A 13330-nucleotide genomic window follows, 5' to 3' on the forward strand; every position below is an offset into this window, starting at 1 on the left:
GCCGAAAGAAACTGAGCTTGTAGGCATTCCAAAATTGTGTTCAAATCTCACAGTCCAACAGCTTGTTAATGTTTTTCATGCTTGCTTCATCTTACTCATATATAAAACAGTATTTTGGATTGTCATTAACCCCTTGTGGAATAGGAATGTAACATGCTCTTAACTGTATGGCTTCTTGTTTGATGCATGTGTCTTTGTAACATTTTTCTGTTGTAAATACAGTGAGCTCTTTGGAGTCTCAAATCATTTATCATGTGCACGAATAGCACATCAATTGGGGAGGAAATTAAGATGATGAATAGATAGAAAATTATTAATAGCTGTATCTTAAAACTTGTGTTTCCTACTTACATAGATTTTATTTAAAAGAAGTGGAAACACTTTATGGAAATAATAGAAACCTTTCCTCTAGGGATCTGATTATTTTGGGAGAATTTTAAATAGTTATTTTGGTTATTCTTGCTATATGTATTCTGAGAAATCTTTCTTGATACAGAATATGCAAGCATTTGGTGTAGCAAAGGGGATTTGATTTGGAATGGGGAAATAAGGGAAAGAGATAGCATGAGAGAGTCAGGCTGTAAAGTCCTTAAAAAAGTAAAGTAAAGGTTCTCAATGGACAGTTTAACAAAACTTAGGATTTCAATGTTCCTGGTGATTCTAATACATTAGTGGTGGTGGCAGTGGCGGCGGTGGTGGTGGTGATTGTAGGAGGACCTTACTATCTAACCTACTCATCTAGGACAGAATGATCTGTTAACTAATTGCTGTTACTTGCACATACTTTCATTAAGTGTGAATATTTCAGTCATGAATATTCTGTTCTAAGTAATTTCTGTCAAAGATAGAGTCTGAAAATGAAAATTTTGGACTATTCCATGGATCATTACAGTTTACTTCTAAAGCACTTTTAAAGTGCTTCCAGAAAGCATTCTATTAGGTATTTTTGTATTGGGACTTAAGATGTGACAGAGCACTTGTAGTGACCTGGCTCCTACAGTAGTCTGTTTACTCATAGGAGCTTGAAATTTGTACACTTGACTGCTCTGTGTAATTTCAATATTTGTTGTTGCTTCTGATAAAGCTAAAATAACCATGTGGATATTATAGAGGCCAGTGAGGAATTCCACCATGGAGACTGCAAACTGACCAGAAAGTGCTTTTAAGAAATCTTTAGTAGTGAGTTTAAACAACAAACATATCTAGAATTCACAGAGTAAAATGAGCAGGATAAAGGTATACATTTGACATTTCATTTTAGCTTGAGAGACTGTAGGGAAAAAAGGGTCATCCTCTACATAAGCTTCCAGAGCTGCTTGCTACCCAGCCTCCTAGAGTCATTGCTGGGTACAGTTTGATTTACCTTCTTCACTTTATTTAGAATTTGTACTCAACCACCATCACCACCATCACCTTTCCCTCTCATTGCCTTCTCTCCAGCCTTCACTACAGACCATTCCTGGATTGGTTTAAACAGGCAACTAACCTTGCCATTATGATTAAATGTTTGTCATGGATTTAGCCCGTGTTTGGTGACAAATGCCTTATATCTATTGAGACTTCTCAAAGACTCTGGATATTCTCCATTATGTCTGACCTTAAAGTATTGAGCTTGGCATTTAGTAACAGGATTCATAGATATTTAAAGATAACTTGAGGACTTGAGACATATATTTTCTTAGTCTTTTCTACCTTTTCCTTTTCTAGCAAGGCAGCAGAATAGTTCCAGTGATTGTCTTTTGGTAAAAACCATTTTGTGTCTTATGTTATTTCATTGTTCTTATTTTATTTCATTCTAGGTCCAAGGGCAGCCATTAATGGTGCAGGTCAGTGGAGGCCAGCTAATCACATCAACTGGCCAACCCATCATGGTCCAGGCTGTCCCTGGTGGACAAGGTCAAACCATCATGCAAGTACCTGTTTCTGGAACACAGGGTTTGCAGCAAGTGAGTAATATTTAAAAATATTGAGCAGTATATCAGAGGAGAGGTTTCAAAGAATAGATTATTACAACCTATTTGATAATTGATATTGCATTTAACTGCTTCCTAACCCACATTTTGCATTCAGTTGATTTTCTGCCTTTATAGTACCAGTGATATAAACTAGAACTATGCAGAAATTGGACAGCTCCAGTAATGACTAAGATATTAGGCATGATCTTGAATTGCTGTAAAGTATATGAAGAGGTTAGAATCTAGTTTATAGTATATTTTATTTTAAAAGAAACAAAAATGAGTATTTAGAAAGTTAGAAAAATAACAAAACGAGCAAAAAGTGGGTCCAAATTAATTAAGTAGAAAACTGACGTATAGAAAGGATAAATAAAATCTAGATTGTTTAAGCAGACCAATAAAACAGGTAAATCCAGTTGAAACACTGATTGAGAAACAGAAAACAAAAGTAAGCAAAGATGTAGAAGAGATTAAAGGAAGGCCAGGCGCAGTGGCTCATGCCTGTGATCCCAGCACTTGGGGAGGCCAAGGCAGGTGGATCACTTGAGGCCAGGAGTTCAAGACCAGCCTGGCCAACATGACAAAACCCCATCTCTACTAAAAATAAAAAATTAGCCGGGCGTGGTGGCACGCACCTGTAATCCCAGCTACTTGGGGGGTTGAGGCATAAGATATCTTGAACCCAGGAGGCGGAGGTTGCAGTAAGCCAAGATTGTGCCACTGCACTCCAGGCTGGGCACCAGAGCAAGATTCTGTCTCAAAAAAAAAGAAGAGATTAACAGAAATATGTAGAAATGTTACATACAACTCTGTGGCATCATATTTTAAAATTAGATATTTCTCATCGAGATGGCAAAAAAAAACAAAAAGTCATTATATCCACTGTTAGGATGGATGTGGAGAAAAAGAATTAATCATTATTTTTGGTAATTTAAAACTGTAGAGTTATTTTGGAAAGGCACCTCACTATCTGTTAAATACAATGAATATTTGAGCTAGCAGTCCCACTTCTGAGAATCTGTCCTATAGGAAGAAAAGCATCAATAGTAGGGGGAAATTACAAAGACACTTTTCATAGCATTGTACTAGCAAAAAATAAAATTGCAATCTGAGTGTCCATTAATAAGAATAAGGAAATGGTTGGAATAAATCATAATATATTCATAGGGAATATTGCATCATCATTAAAAGAAATGAACTGTTGACTTGGGGTGGGTTAATATTGAAATATTTTTAGTGGAAATAATTTGCAGAGAAATAGTGTGTGATCTCATCTTTGTAATTCATAACCAACCCCCCATGAGTATATGTTTATAGTCATGGAAAAGAGAGTATGAGATAACTATTAGTTACTCTATCTAAATGTTTATATTGTTTCAACAGTTACAGCAGTCATATTAATGTCTTAGTTTTCTGGAGGAATTTAAGTTGAAAAAAGCAGCCATGATCCCACTGCTCATAAATCAAACTTGTACTTTTTGTGTATTCTTTTGTGTTTTTATGCATAATTTTTGGGCATAATTGTACCATGCATGTGGGGTTGTGTTTTCATTTTTTTTTTTTAATTCTTTCATAATGTTCAGTCAACTTGATGAATCAGAATTTCTAATTTATAAAATATAGTTAAGGATTTTGGTTTTCATTTGCCTTTGTAGGTAAACATTTGGGCACGATAGTTTTATTTTTCAACTGAATTCTCAGGATAATTTCTTTGGATTGGGGATTGCTTGGGTAAAGGGTAAGAGTATATTTGAGCCCACTGGCATATTTTTGCCAAGATAGAATTGTACTTGGGATTAAAAATAGTTTTCACATTTCTCTTTGCATAAATATATGAGGCTTTAAATATCTTTTCAGCATGTGCTTTCCTTGATTCCCTATTGCTATATCCTTTCTGTTCTTCTCTCTTTGCTTCCTCTCCAGTCCCCCTTGCTGCGCCTTCTCCACTGTTGAGTAGAGACAATGTGGTATAGTTAGGAACAGTATACTGTGAGTGTAGTGGTCCAAGCTTTCATTACCAGGTCTGCCATTAAATAAGCATTCTGATCTTGGCCAAGTTATTTAATTGTCGGTTTGCTCATCCAAAAATAAAATTTATATGAGATGATATCTAGGGTTCATTCTAGCTCTAAATTCTGTGATTTTTATGGGGTTTTATTTTGCTATAAGGAACCTTCAAATAGTTATTTCCCTGCTTCCAAGTAGGGCTATAACTAACCAAGCTGAAAAAAATATATTCTGTTACGTAAATAAAGCTCTCTAGGTGAGATTCCATAGCCTCCCTTACAATACTTAAGGCTTTAATCCCCTTTGTATAGGAGTTTTTTTTCTCATTAGTGTTGAGTAGCCATTTTTTAAAGAAGACTACTTCTTAACCTTTTTTGAATTGTATTCTCTATTTTAGAATCCTAGTAAAGCTTGCACCCTCTAAGAAAAAGTAGAGATGTCCAGTCTCATGAAAAATTCTGCATATAATTTTAGATTAAAATCCTTGGCCTGAGAAAGATACTGGAACCAGAGAGACAGCCAAGAAATAGATAGAAGAATATTGGAAGTTGGCATATAATAAAAGTGGTATAAACATATCAATGAAGAAATGGCTGAAGAATGATACAGAAAAGAAACTGATTTCTAATTCATACTGTATTTTAAAAAATATTTGCTAGGTGGATTAAAGATCTAAATGTAGAAAAGTAAACTTGGAAAATTCAAAAGAAAATATAAGAATTTTTATGCTATAGAGAAGGATATTTTTAAAAACAAATTGACTAAAACATAATATGCATTGAAATACATCAAATAAAAGTAAACAAGGTGAAAACTTGGAAAAGATATTTTTAATACATACAACCGAGTTTGTATTCAGAATATGTATAAATAACGTTTATGTATTTATACAAAAATAGGAAAATGGGCGAAGAATATGAATAGATGGAAGAGGAAATCCTAACAGCCAATATAAACTTAGAAATGAAGTTGGTTCACATAACCAGATAAATTTGTTTACTTATTTATTTGCCAATACTTTCTGAATGCCAATTATGAGCTGAGTATTTGGAAAAAATAATTCAGAAGACCTAGGCAATCTATCCCCTAACAAAGTAGGATCCATGAATGTCTCTAAGACATGGAACCCATTGACCTGTTTTTTTCACCTTCCTTCCATCAGTAGTCCTTTTTCCTATCAGCTGGTAGACTTTGTGATAACTTAAGGTTCTAGGCATGTTCTTCTTTCCAGACCAAGGTGGTCCCAAGTTGAAATTATGGATGGAAAGTGACCTGGCTATAAAAATCTATCTTTCTGAAAGTATCCTCCTTCCAGACTGCCATCTATGTTGAAGCAATGCTCAAATAAAAAAAGTTTGTTGATGGAATTAATGGTCAAAGAAGCAAAGAGAAGGTTACTTAGTACTAGCCATGTATTCTGGCTTTTAAGTTTGGGAGGTATTCTTGAATATAAAATACAAGACATTTTGAGCTATGGGGCTCTCCTCACTGCTTTCTCTTTTGCACTTAAAAAAAAAAGTGTTCACTAGTTATATGAAAATAGGATTTTGTACACCCAACATTTAAAGGGTTGTATTGCAGTTTTTTAGTTCCAAAATTTAGAGAAATATTTTTCAAGCTTCTTGTCAGGTTTCTGATAACACTCCTAATAAAGTGGCTATAGCCATTAAAAAAAAGAAAGAAGATAGATTTGGATAGCACACGATCCCTTGCTTTCCATAATTGCTTTATAAGGTTTAGCTATCCAATCCTAGGACCAAATAGGAGATACAAATTAAATCAACAAAAATTTGACAAACATTAATGACAGTAGTGAGTATTGGTAATTGGAAACTAATAGGAGGAATATAATCTGTCACATTGCCTTAATTATCTATTACCATATAACAAATTATCCTAGAAGTTAGCAGCTTAAAACAACAAACATTTGGCCGGTGCGGTGGCCCACACCTGTAATCCCAGCACTTTGGGTGGCCGAGGCGGGTGGATCACAAGGTCAGGAGATCGAGACCATCCTGGTTAACACAGTGAAACCCCGTCTCTACTAAAAAGACAAAAAAAAAATTAAGCCAGGCGTGATGGCGGACGCCTGTAGTCCCAGCTACTCGGGAGGCTGAGGCAGGAGAATGGCATGAACCCAGGAGGCGGAGCTTGCAGTGAGCCAAGATCACACCACTGCACTCCAGCCTGAGCCACAGAGCGACACTCCGTCTCCAAAAAAAAAAAAAAAAAAAAAATTTATTTTATAGTTTCTGTGAGTTAGGAATCCTGACACAGCTGTGTTGGATTCTTTCAAGGTCCTCTCAAGGCCCTTATCAAGGTGTTGTCCTGGGCTGCAGTCACATTTGACTAGAGTAGAATACATTTTGGGTTTTTTCTTTGTTTGTTTTTTTGAGACAGTTACTCGCTCTGTTGCCTAGGCTGGAATGCAGTGGTGCGGATCTTGGCTCACTGCAACCTCTGCCTCCCAGGCTCAAATGATCCTCCCACCTCAGTTCCCCAAGTAGCTGGGACCACAGGCATGTCCTACCATGCCTGGATAATTTTTGTATTTTTCAGTAGATACAGGGTTTTGCCATGTTGCCCAGGCTGGTCTCGAACTCCTGACCTAATCTGCTCGCCTCAGCCTCCTGAAGTGCTGGGATTATGGGCATAAGCCATTGTACCCGGCTTTCAGCATTTTTAATATATATAGTATTTCCTCTGTAAAAAAGTACTTCATCATTCACCAAAATGGCAAGATTAAAAAATAATAATAAAGCACTTTAGAGTGTATTTTATTTTTTTATTTTTTTGAGACGGAATCTCGCTCTGTCGCCCAGGCTGGAGTGCAGTGGCGTGATCTCGGCTCACTGCAACCTCCGCCTCCGGTTCAAGTGATTTTCCGGCCTCAGTCTCCCAAGTAGCTGGGATTACAGGCATGCACCACCATGCCCGGCTAATCTTTGTATTTTTAGTAGAGACAGGGTTTCATCATGTTGGCCAGGCTGGTCTCGAACTCCTGACCTCAAGTGATCCACCCACCTCGGCCTTCCAAAGTGCAAGGATTACAGGCGTGAGCCACCACACCCAGCCCAGAGTGTATTTTAAATATGCATGCTTTTCAATATATATAATCATACCACTGCTATCTTTCATAAAAACCGACATTGATTTGTTAATATCAGGTATCCAGACAGTGTCGAAATTCCCTATTTGTTTCATAAATGGAAAATAAGTTGTGTCTACTTCATAATGGAGGGCAGAGCAGGACTTCTTTTTTCCTCTTCAGAACATTTTCTGCTTTCTAGAGAAATGTGGATAACTCTCGGGGACCAAAGGAGACCAGTGTCAGTAGAGTACAATCCTTTTTTTATGTTCTTTTCTGCAGATACAGTTGGTCCCACCTGGACAGATCCAGATCCAGGGTGGACAGGCTGTGCAGGTGCAGGGCCAGCAGGGCCAGACCCAGCAGATCATCATCCAGCAGCCCCAGACGGCTGTCACTGCTGGCCAGACTCAGGTAATTCCACTAGCTCTGTCACACAGGAGCAAAACTGATTTGGAAGAGTCAGATAACTGAGTCAGATATTTCATGTATAGCATGTATAGTAGAAAAGGGGATGAAAACCATAAAAAAATATATTTTTGGCCGGGCGCGGTGGCTCATGCCTGTAATCCCAGCACTTTGAGAGGCCGAGGCAAGCTGATCACAAGGTCAAGAGATCAAGAACATCCTGGCCAACATGGTGAAGCCCCGTCAAAATACAAAAATTAGGTGGGCATGGTGGCGCATGCCTGTAATCCCAGCTACTCGGGAGGCTGAGGCAGAGAATCGCTTGAACCCAGGAGGCGGAGGTTGCAGTGAGCTGAGATTGCGCCACTGCACTGCACTCCAGCCTGGCGACAGAGTGAGACTCTGTCTCAAAAAAATAATTTTTTTTTTTAAGGACTACATCGTTCTTTGTTAGTATCTTTGGGATCTGTTGAATTGTGTCATTACTTATTTCCTCCAGACACAGCAGCAGATTGCTGTCCAGGGACAGCAAGTGGCACAGACTGCTGAAGGGCAGACCATCGTCTATCAACCAGTTAATGCAGATGGCACCATTCTCCAGCAAGGTAAGTGTACCCATAAGCTTCCCTAGGACTTTTTGGGGCAACTTTTTTGTCCCTTAGACAACTGACATCTTTAGAATTTGAGTGGTGAACTTGACACTACATATTTTTTGGACAAAAAAAAAAAAGATTTCCTCTAGCTCTCCATTGATTGTTGGTTTCTTGTCACCATCTGTGACCAACAGTGATTCCATGTGTAGCAGTTTCTATAGTGGTTGCTAATCTAGGGATTGTGTAAGCTTTTAGGGAAGAAGTGTTTCTAAACAGAAGAATAGAAATAGGGAGTTCATTGGTAAAGAGAGAAATAGATCAAAAATCAAGTTGGCTTTAGAGTGCTATTGCTGCTTATGTTTTTTTCTGGGTCATTCCATTACTTTAAATGACTATTATGTATACAGCACTTTTACTAAGAAGGGTCCTCAAAGAGCCTCTAGTCTAGTAAGAAAGACGTGAACAAATAAATACAATGCAGGGCCCTCATGGAAGTATGTTCTAGGAATAGATAACATAAATAATAGATGTTTGGTCTGGGAGGAGGAGTGCAGAAACTGAACTTGAAGGCTTTTGGAAGCACCTGTTAGTCAAATAGTTAAATCAAAAAAGGACATCTTTGTTAGATTCCATGACTTTGTGATTGCAAATTTGCAATATACAGGATCCAGAGAGTGCACTAACTGTGTGCTCTTGTATTACTCCAGGGAGGCCCTGAACTGGATTGAGCCCAGGCAAGAGCTCAAACAGAATGGTGAACAAATCCTCAAGTGCTGCTATTGATAGTCTGGGGACTTGGAATGCTTGGTTTAATTTTAAGTTTTAATACTACAACTGACTCATTGTCAGTTTGAGATAAACAAAGTATAAGTTTTAAAATCTCTGTCCTGAAGCAGATTGCTCATTATGTACAAGAGCAGTAGGTATAGCTGTAGTCAGACTGACCTGTAGAAGAGGAGGCCTCCAAACCTTTTCACCTTTTGAAAACTGCTAAGGATAGAGTTACTCAAAACTGGGACCTAGACAGTTAATAGAATTTCAAAGATTGTGATTACTTAGATTATATATAGCACACCACAGTGGGAGAGTACTTTTTCTCCCCTTGTGTTTTTCAGTGTGTTTTGCCAGGATCGGTGAGTGTATACCAGATAGAAGAGGGACTAACTATGTTCCCTTCTTTCTGTTCTGTGTGCCTGTTTTTTGTTTGTTTTATGTTTTGTTTTCTTAAAGTTACAGTCCCTGTTTCAGGCATGATCACTATCCCAGCAGCCAGTTTGGCAGGAGCACAGATTGTTCAAACAGGAGCCAATACCAACACAACCAGCAGTGGGCAAGGGACTGTCACTGTGACACTACCAGTGGCAGGCAATGTGGTCAATTCAGGAGGGATGGTCATGGTAAGAAAATGTATTTTTCAGCTTTGTCTTTGAAATTTTCTTGAACATGCAACTTGATGCCTCCTAAAATTTATTATGTTGACCTCTTGGGATTGAGATCGATCCTTAAGGCACTGTCGGTAATCTACTTTGACAATAACATTATGACAAACCATAATTCATTCTGAGCACCTACTATGTGCCAGGGACTATTCACCAGGGACTATTCTAGATGCTGGAGATAAAGCAATGGATAAATAGTGATTTTATGGAATTCTTTTCAGAATTCAAATAACGAAGGGAATTATATACTAATCTTTGAGAAGTGGAAAGTAGTATTGCCCATGATGGACAAAATAAGAAATAAGCTAAAAATTAGAAAGATTGTAATTGATAGAGAAACCAAAAAAAAAGTGTCATGTAAATGTATTGGGAAGATAGGAAGATTTGGGTGGTGTAACTGAAAGCTAAATCCTCATATGTCAAAATAGGATGTTAAAATGCATAAATTAAGAATGAGTAACAGAAGTCTGCACAGAGGTGGAGGAAGCTATGAAAAGAAACAGAACCAACCCTGGCTCAGTGGCATGCACCTGTAGTCCTAGCTACTTGGGAGGCTAATCCAGGAGGATGGCTTAAGTCCAGGAGTTTGAGCTCAGCCTGGGCAATGTAGAGAGACCTCGTTTCTACGAATTGAATGAAAAATAAATAATTTTTATAAAAGATTCAATACAGTTATTCAAAGCGGTTGTATTTGGGAAAGAGCTGTGGGGTACAGGACTCTGTTACTTGTTTTTACCTACATTTAGTACAGTGTTTTGGTGTTTTTTAAGAAAAATTAGGATTGAATTATAAGTTAACTATTATTTTTATAAATATAGGCATTTAGTAGCACTTGGTCTATCTATTTTTGTGCTGTTTTTTTGTCTTATGACTACTGTTCCTGACCATTAGATGGCAGCAGAAATATCTAGAGCCATGGGTGGACATGAATTAGGGCATGGTTATATAGTTTCTCAGAGTGGCACCTGAATCTCCTATGACACAGTCATCTGGGGTGTTTGTTTAAAGTGCAGATCTTTAGTATAAATTTCTCCAGGGATCCGCATTTACCCAAGTACCCTATAAAAATTACTTTTTGTGGCATTTACAAAAAAAATGGATGAAGAGGAACCAAGAAACTGTTTCTATGTCCATACTTCATGCCACCAATAAGCTCTGGTTTCCTGTTCACACAGATGGTTCCTGGGGCTGGCTCTGTGCCTGCTATCCAAAGAATCCCTCTACCTGGAGCAGAGATGCTTGAAGAAGAGCCTCTCTACGTGAATGCCAAACAATACCACCGTATTCTTAAGAGGAGGCAAGCCCGAGCTAAACTAGAGGCAGAAGGGAAAATTCCAAAGGAGAGAAGGGTATGTATAACATTGGGAAGGATATAGGAAAGGAGAATAGCAGGGTTCTACTTTTGAAATTATCTTTTATATGGCTTGTTTTCTCACGTACCTTCCAAACAATTGACGTTAGATACTTGTTGTCTCTTTTGTAAGAGTTAGCATTTGTTATTACTAATATGCAGCTGCAGTTATAATAACGAAAACAAACAGTGGCTTAAATAAGATGTTATTCCTTTTCATACATAAAAGTAGTCCAGAGATAAATTATCCTGGACTGGTAGCACATTTTCACAGTTCTCAAGACCTGTTTCACTGCTTTAATATTGCTAGTGTGCTGTTCATGGTCCAAGATTCCTGCTTAGGCTCCAGCCTAGGAAGAAAGGGAACAAGAAAGGTACCCTTTCTTTTTTTTTTTTTTCCTGAGACTCAGTCTTGCTCTGTCATCCAGGCCGGAGTGCAGTGGCACAATCTCAGCTCACTGCAACCTGCACCTTCCATGTTCAAGTGATTCTCCTGCCTCAGCCTCCTGAGTAGCTGGGATTACAGGTGTGCGCCACCACGCCCAGCTTATTTTTGTGTTTTTAGTAGAGACGGGGTTTCACCATGTTGGCCAGGCTGGTCTCGAACTCCTGACCTCAGGTGATCCACCTGCCTGGGCCTCCCAAAGTGCCGGGATTATAGGCGTGAGCCACCATACCCGGCCAGGTACCCTTTCTTTCAAGGAAACTTTGAAGAAGTTGTGTACCTTCCACTAGCCGGAATTTAGTTACCTGATCACACCTAACATGCAGATAAGGCTAGGAAAGTCCAGCCTGGTGTGGTGGCAAATGCCTGTAGTCCTACTTGGAAGGCAGAGGCAGGAGGATCACATGAGCCGAGGAATTCAAGGCTGCAGTGATTCATGATCATGCCACTGCAGTCCAACAGCAAGGGTGTCAGAGTGAAACCCTGTTTCTAGAAAATAATAATAATAAACTTTAATGCTAGGAAAGTCTTTTTACTGAACACTCATTTGCTCAAACGAAATTTGGCCTGTTATTAAAGCAGAGGAAAGTGTATATATTGTGAAGTGTAGGTGGTAGTCTGTTATTTTTTTTAAAAAAAATTCATACTATAAGCATTCACAGTCTTACAGTAGTTATATATGGTTAGCTATATTACTTACTAGGTGTTTTCTCCAAAGCTTCCATCGTCATTCTAAGTCATAATTGTCCCTTGTGACTTTGATCCCAGCTGTCTTAAACTTTGGAGAATGGAATTTGTGCACTAGATAACTGTGCTGGTTCTGGATAGTATTAATAGTTAAATGGTTTTATTTCTCGTTTTAGAAATACCTGCATGAGTCTCGGCACCGTCATGCCATGGCACGGAAGCGTGGTGAAGGTGGACGATTTTTCTCTCCAAAGGAAAAGGATAGTCCCCATATGCAGGTAGGAAGACATATACATTTTATTCTTCTCTTTATTACCTTGTATTGACTTGAGTTGAAGCCTTCAGCAGTGTCCTCTTGCTATTTTCCTACTCTGGGACTACTCACATTCTCTAAACTGGATGCAATCTTATGTCTCTTTAGATTATCTTTTATCTTAAAACCACTAGGCCAGACTTGGTGGCTCATGCCTGTAATCCCAACACTTTGGGAGGCTGAGGTGGGAAGCCCAGGATTTCAAGACCAGCCTGGGCAACATGGCAAAACTCCATCTCTACAAAAAAATACAAAAACTAGCCAGGCCTGGTGATGCATGCCTGTAGTCCCAGCTACTTGGAGGGTTGAGATGCTCTTCGTCTTTGTCACTTATTACTATTCATTCTTTCTTGAAAATCACACTTTTCTTAATTTTCAAGGAACAAGTTTTATTTTTATTGAACAGGTTTTATTACCCCATCACAAATATAATTTGAATGTTTACTTTTTTCCCTTCTAACTGATGTGAGCCTGGTCTAATCCTCTCTTCTTTGGCTTAGATTTATAAAATAGCTGCTTAATTTGGTTTCCCTTCTTCCACTTTTGTTCCCCTCTAGCCTACTCTCCACATCCTAGTGTGATCTTTTTAAAATGTTTATCCTATCAAGTCCCTGTTCTGCTCAAGCTCCTTCAACCCCTACCCTTTCCCATTTGCACTTAGACTGACATCCAAAGTGCTTACTACTATGCCCAGCAAAGCCTTACATGCTCCAGCTCCTGTCTACCTCTAACTGCATTTCTACTTCTTGGTCTCTATGCTGCTGTTTACTGTTCATTGGTCTACTTCCTGCCACGGGTCTTTGTCCTTAGAATTTTCAGTCTGTATGCCCTTTATCTTTTTCATGCATGTCTATCTCCCTATCTGTTAGGTCTGGGTTTAATTAAATACCCTATCTAGAATAGATCTCTTCTCTCTCAGTATGTTCTTACAACATCTTTTCTTTTTTTGGAGGCAGTGGTGTGATTATGGCTCACTTTAGTCTTGACCTCCCAGCTCAAGTGATCCTCCCACTTTAGGCTCCCGAGTAGCTGGGACTATAGCCA

At 38.6% G+C, this 13330-nt stretch overlaps 2 protein-coding genes across 4 annotated transcripts in view; one reads left to right on the plus strand and one right to left on the minus strand.

Moving 5' to 3' along the window:
* OARD1 (O-acyl-ADP-ribose deacylase 1) overlaps positions 1-13330 on the minus strand; it is a 33016-nt gene that overhangs the window by 17475 nt on the left and 2211 nt on the right. The window lies entirely within an intron of this gene.
* NFYA (nuclear transcription factor Y subunit alpha) overlaps positions 1-13330 on the plus strand; it is a 29430-nt gene that overhangs the window by 9273 nt on the left and 6827 nt on the right. For both annotated transcript variants that reach the window (NM_002505.5, NM_021705.4), the window contains 6 exons: positions 1800-1946; positions 7333-7464; positions 7958-8063; positions 9282-9448; positions 10666-10839; positions 12150-12251. In NM_002505.5, coding sequence (NP_002496.1) covers positions 1800-1946; positions 7333-7464; positions 7958-8063; positions 9282-9448; positions 10666-10839; positions 12150-12251 — 828 coding nt within the window. The remainder of the gene's footprint in view (positions 1-1799; positions 1947-7332; positions 7465-7957; positions 8064-9281; positions 9449-10665; positions 10840-12149; positions 12252-13330) is intronic.

This window comes from Homo sapiens, chromosome 6 (genome assembly GCF_000001405.40).
Source record: "Homo sapiens chromosome 6, GRCh38.p14 Primary Assembly".
In the NCBI taxonomy this organism is placed as follows: Eukaryota; Metazoa; Chordata; class Mammalia; order Primates; family Hominidae; genus Homo; species Homo sapiens.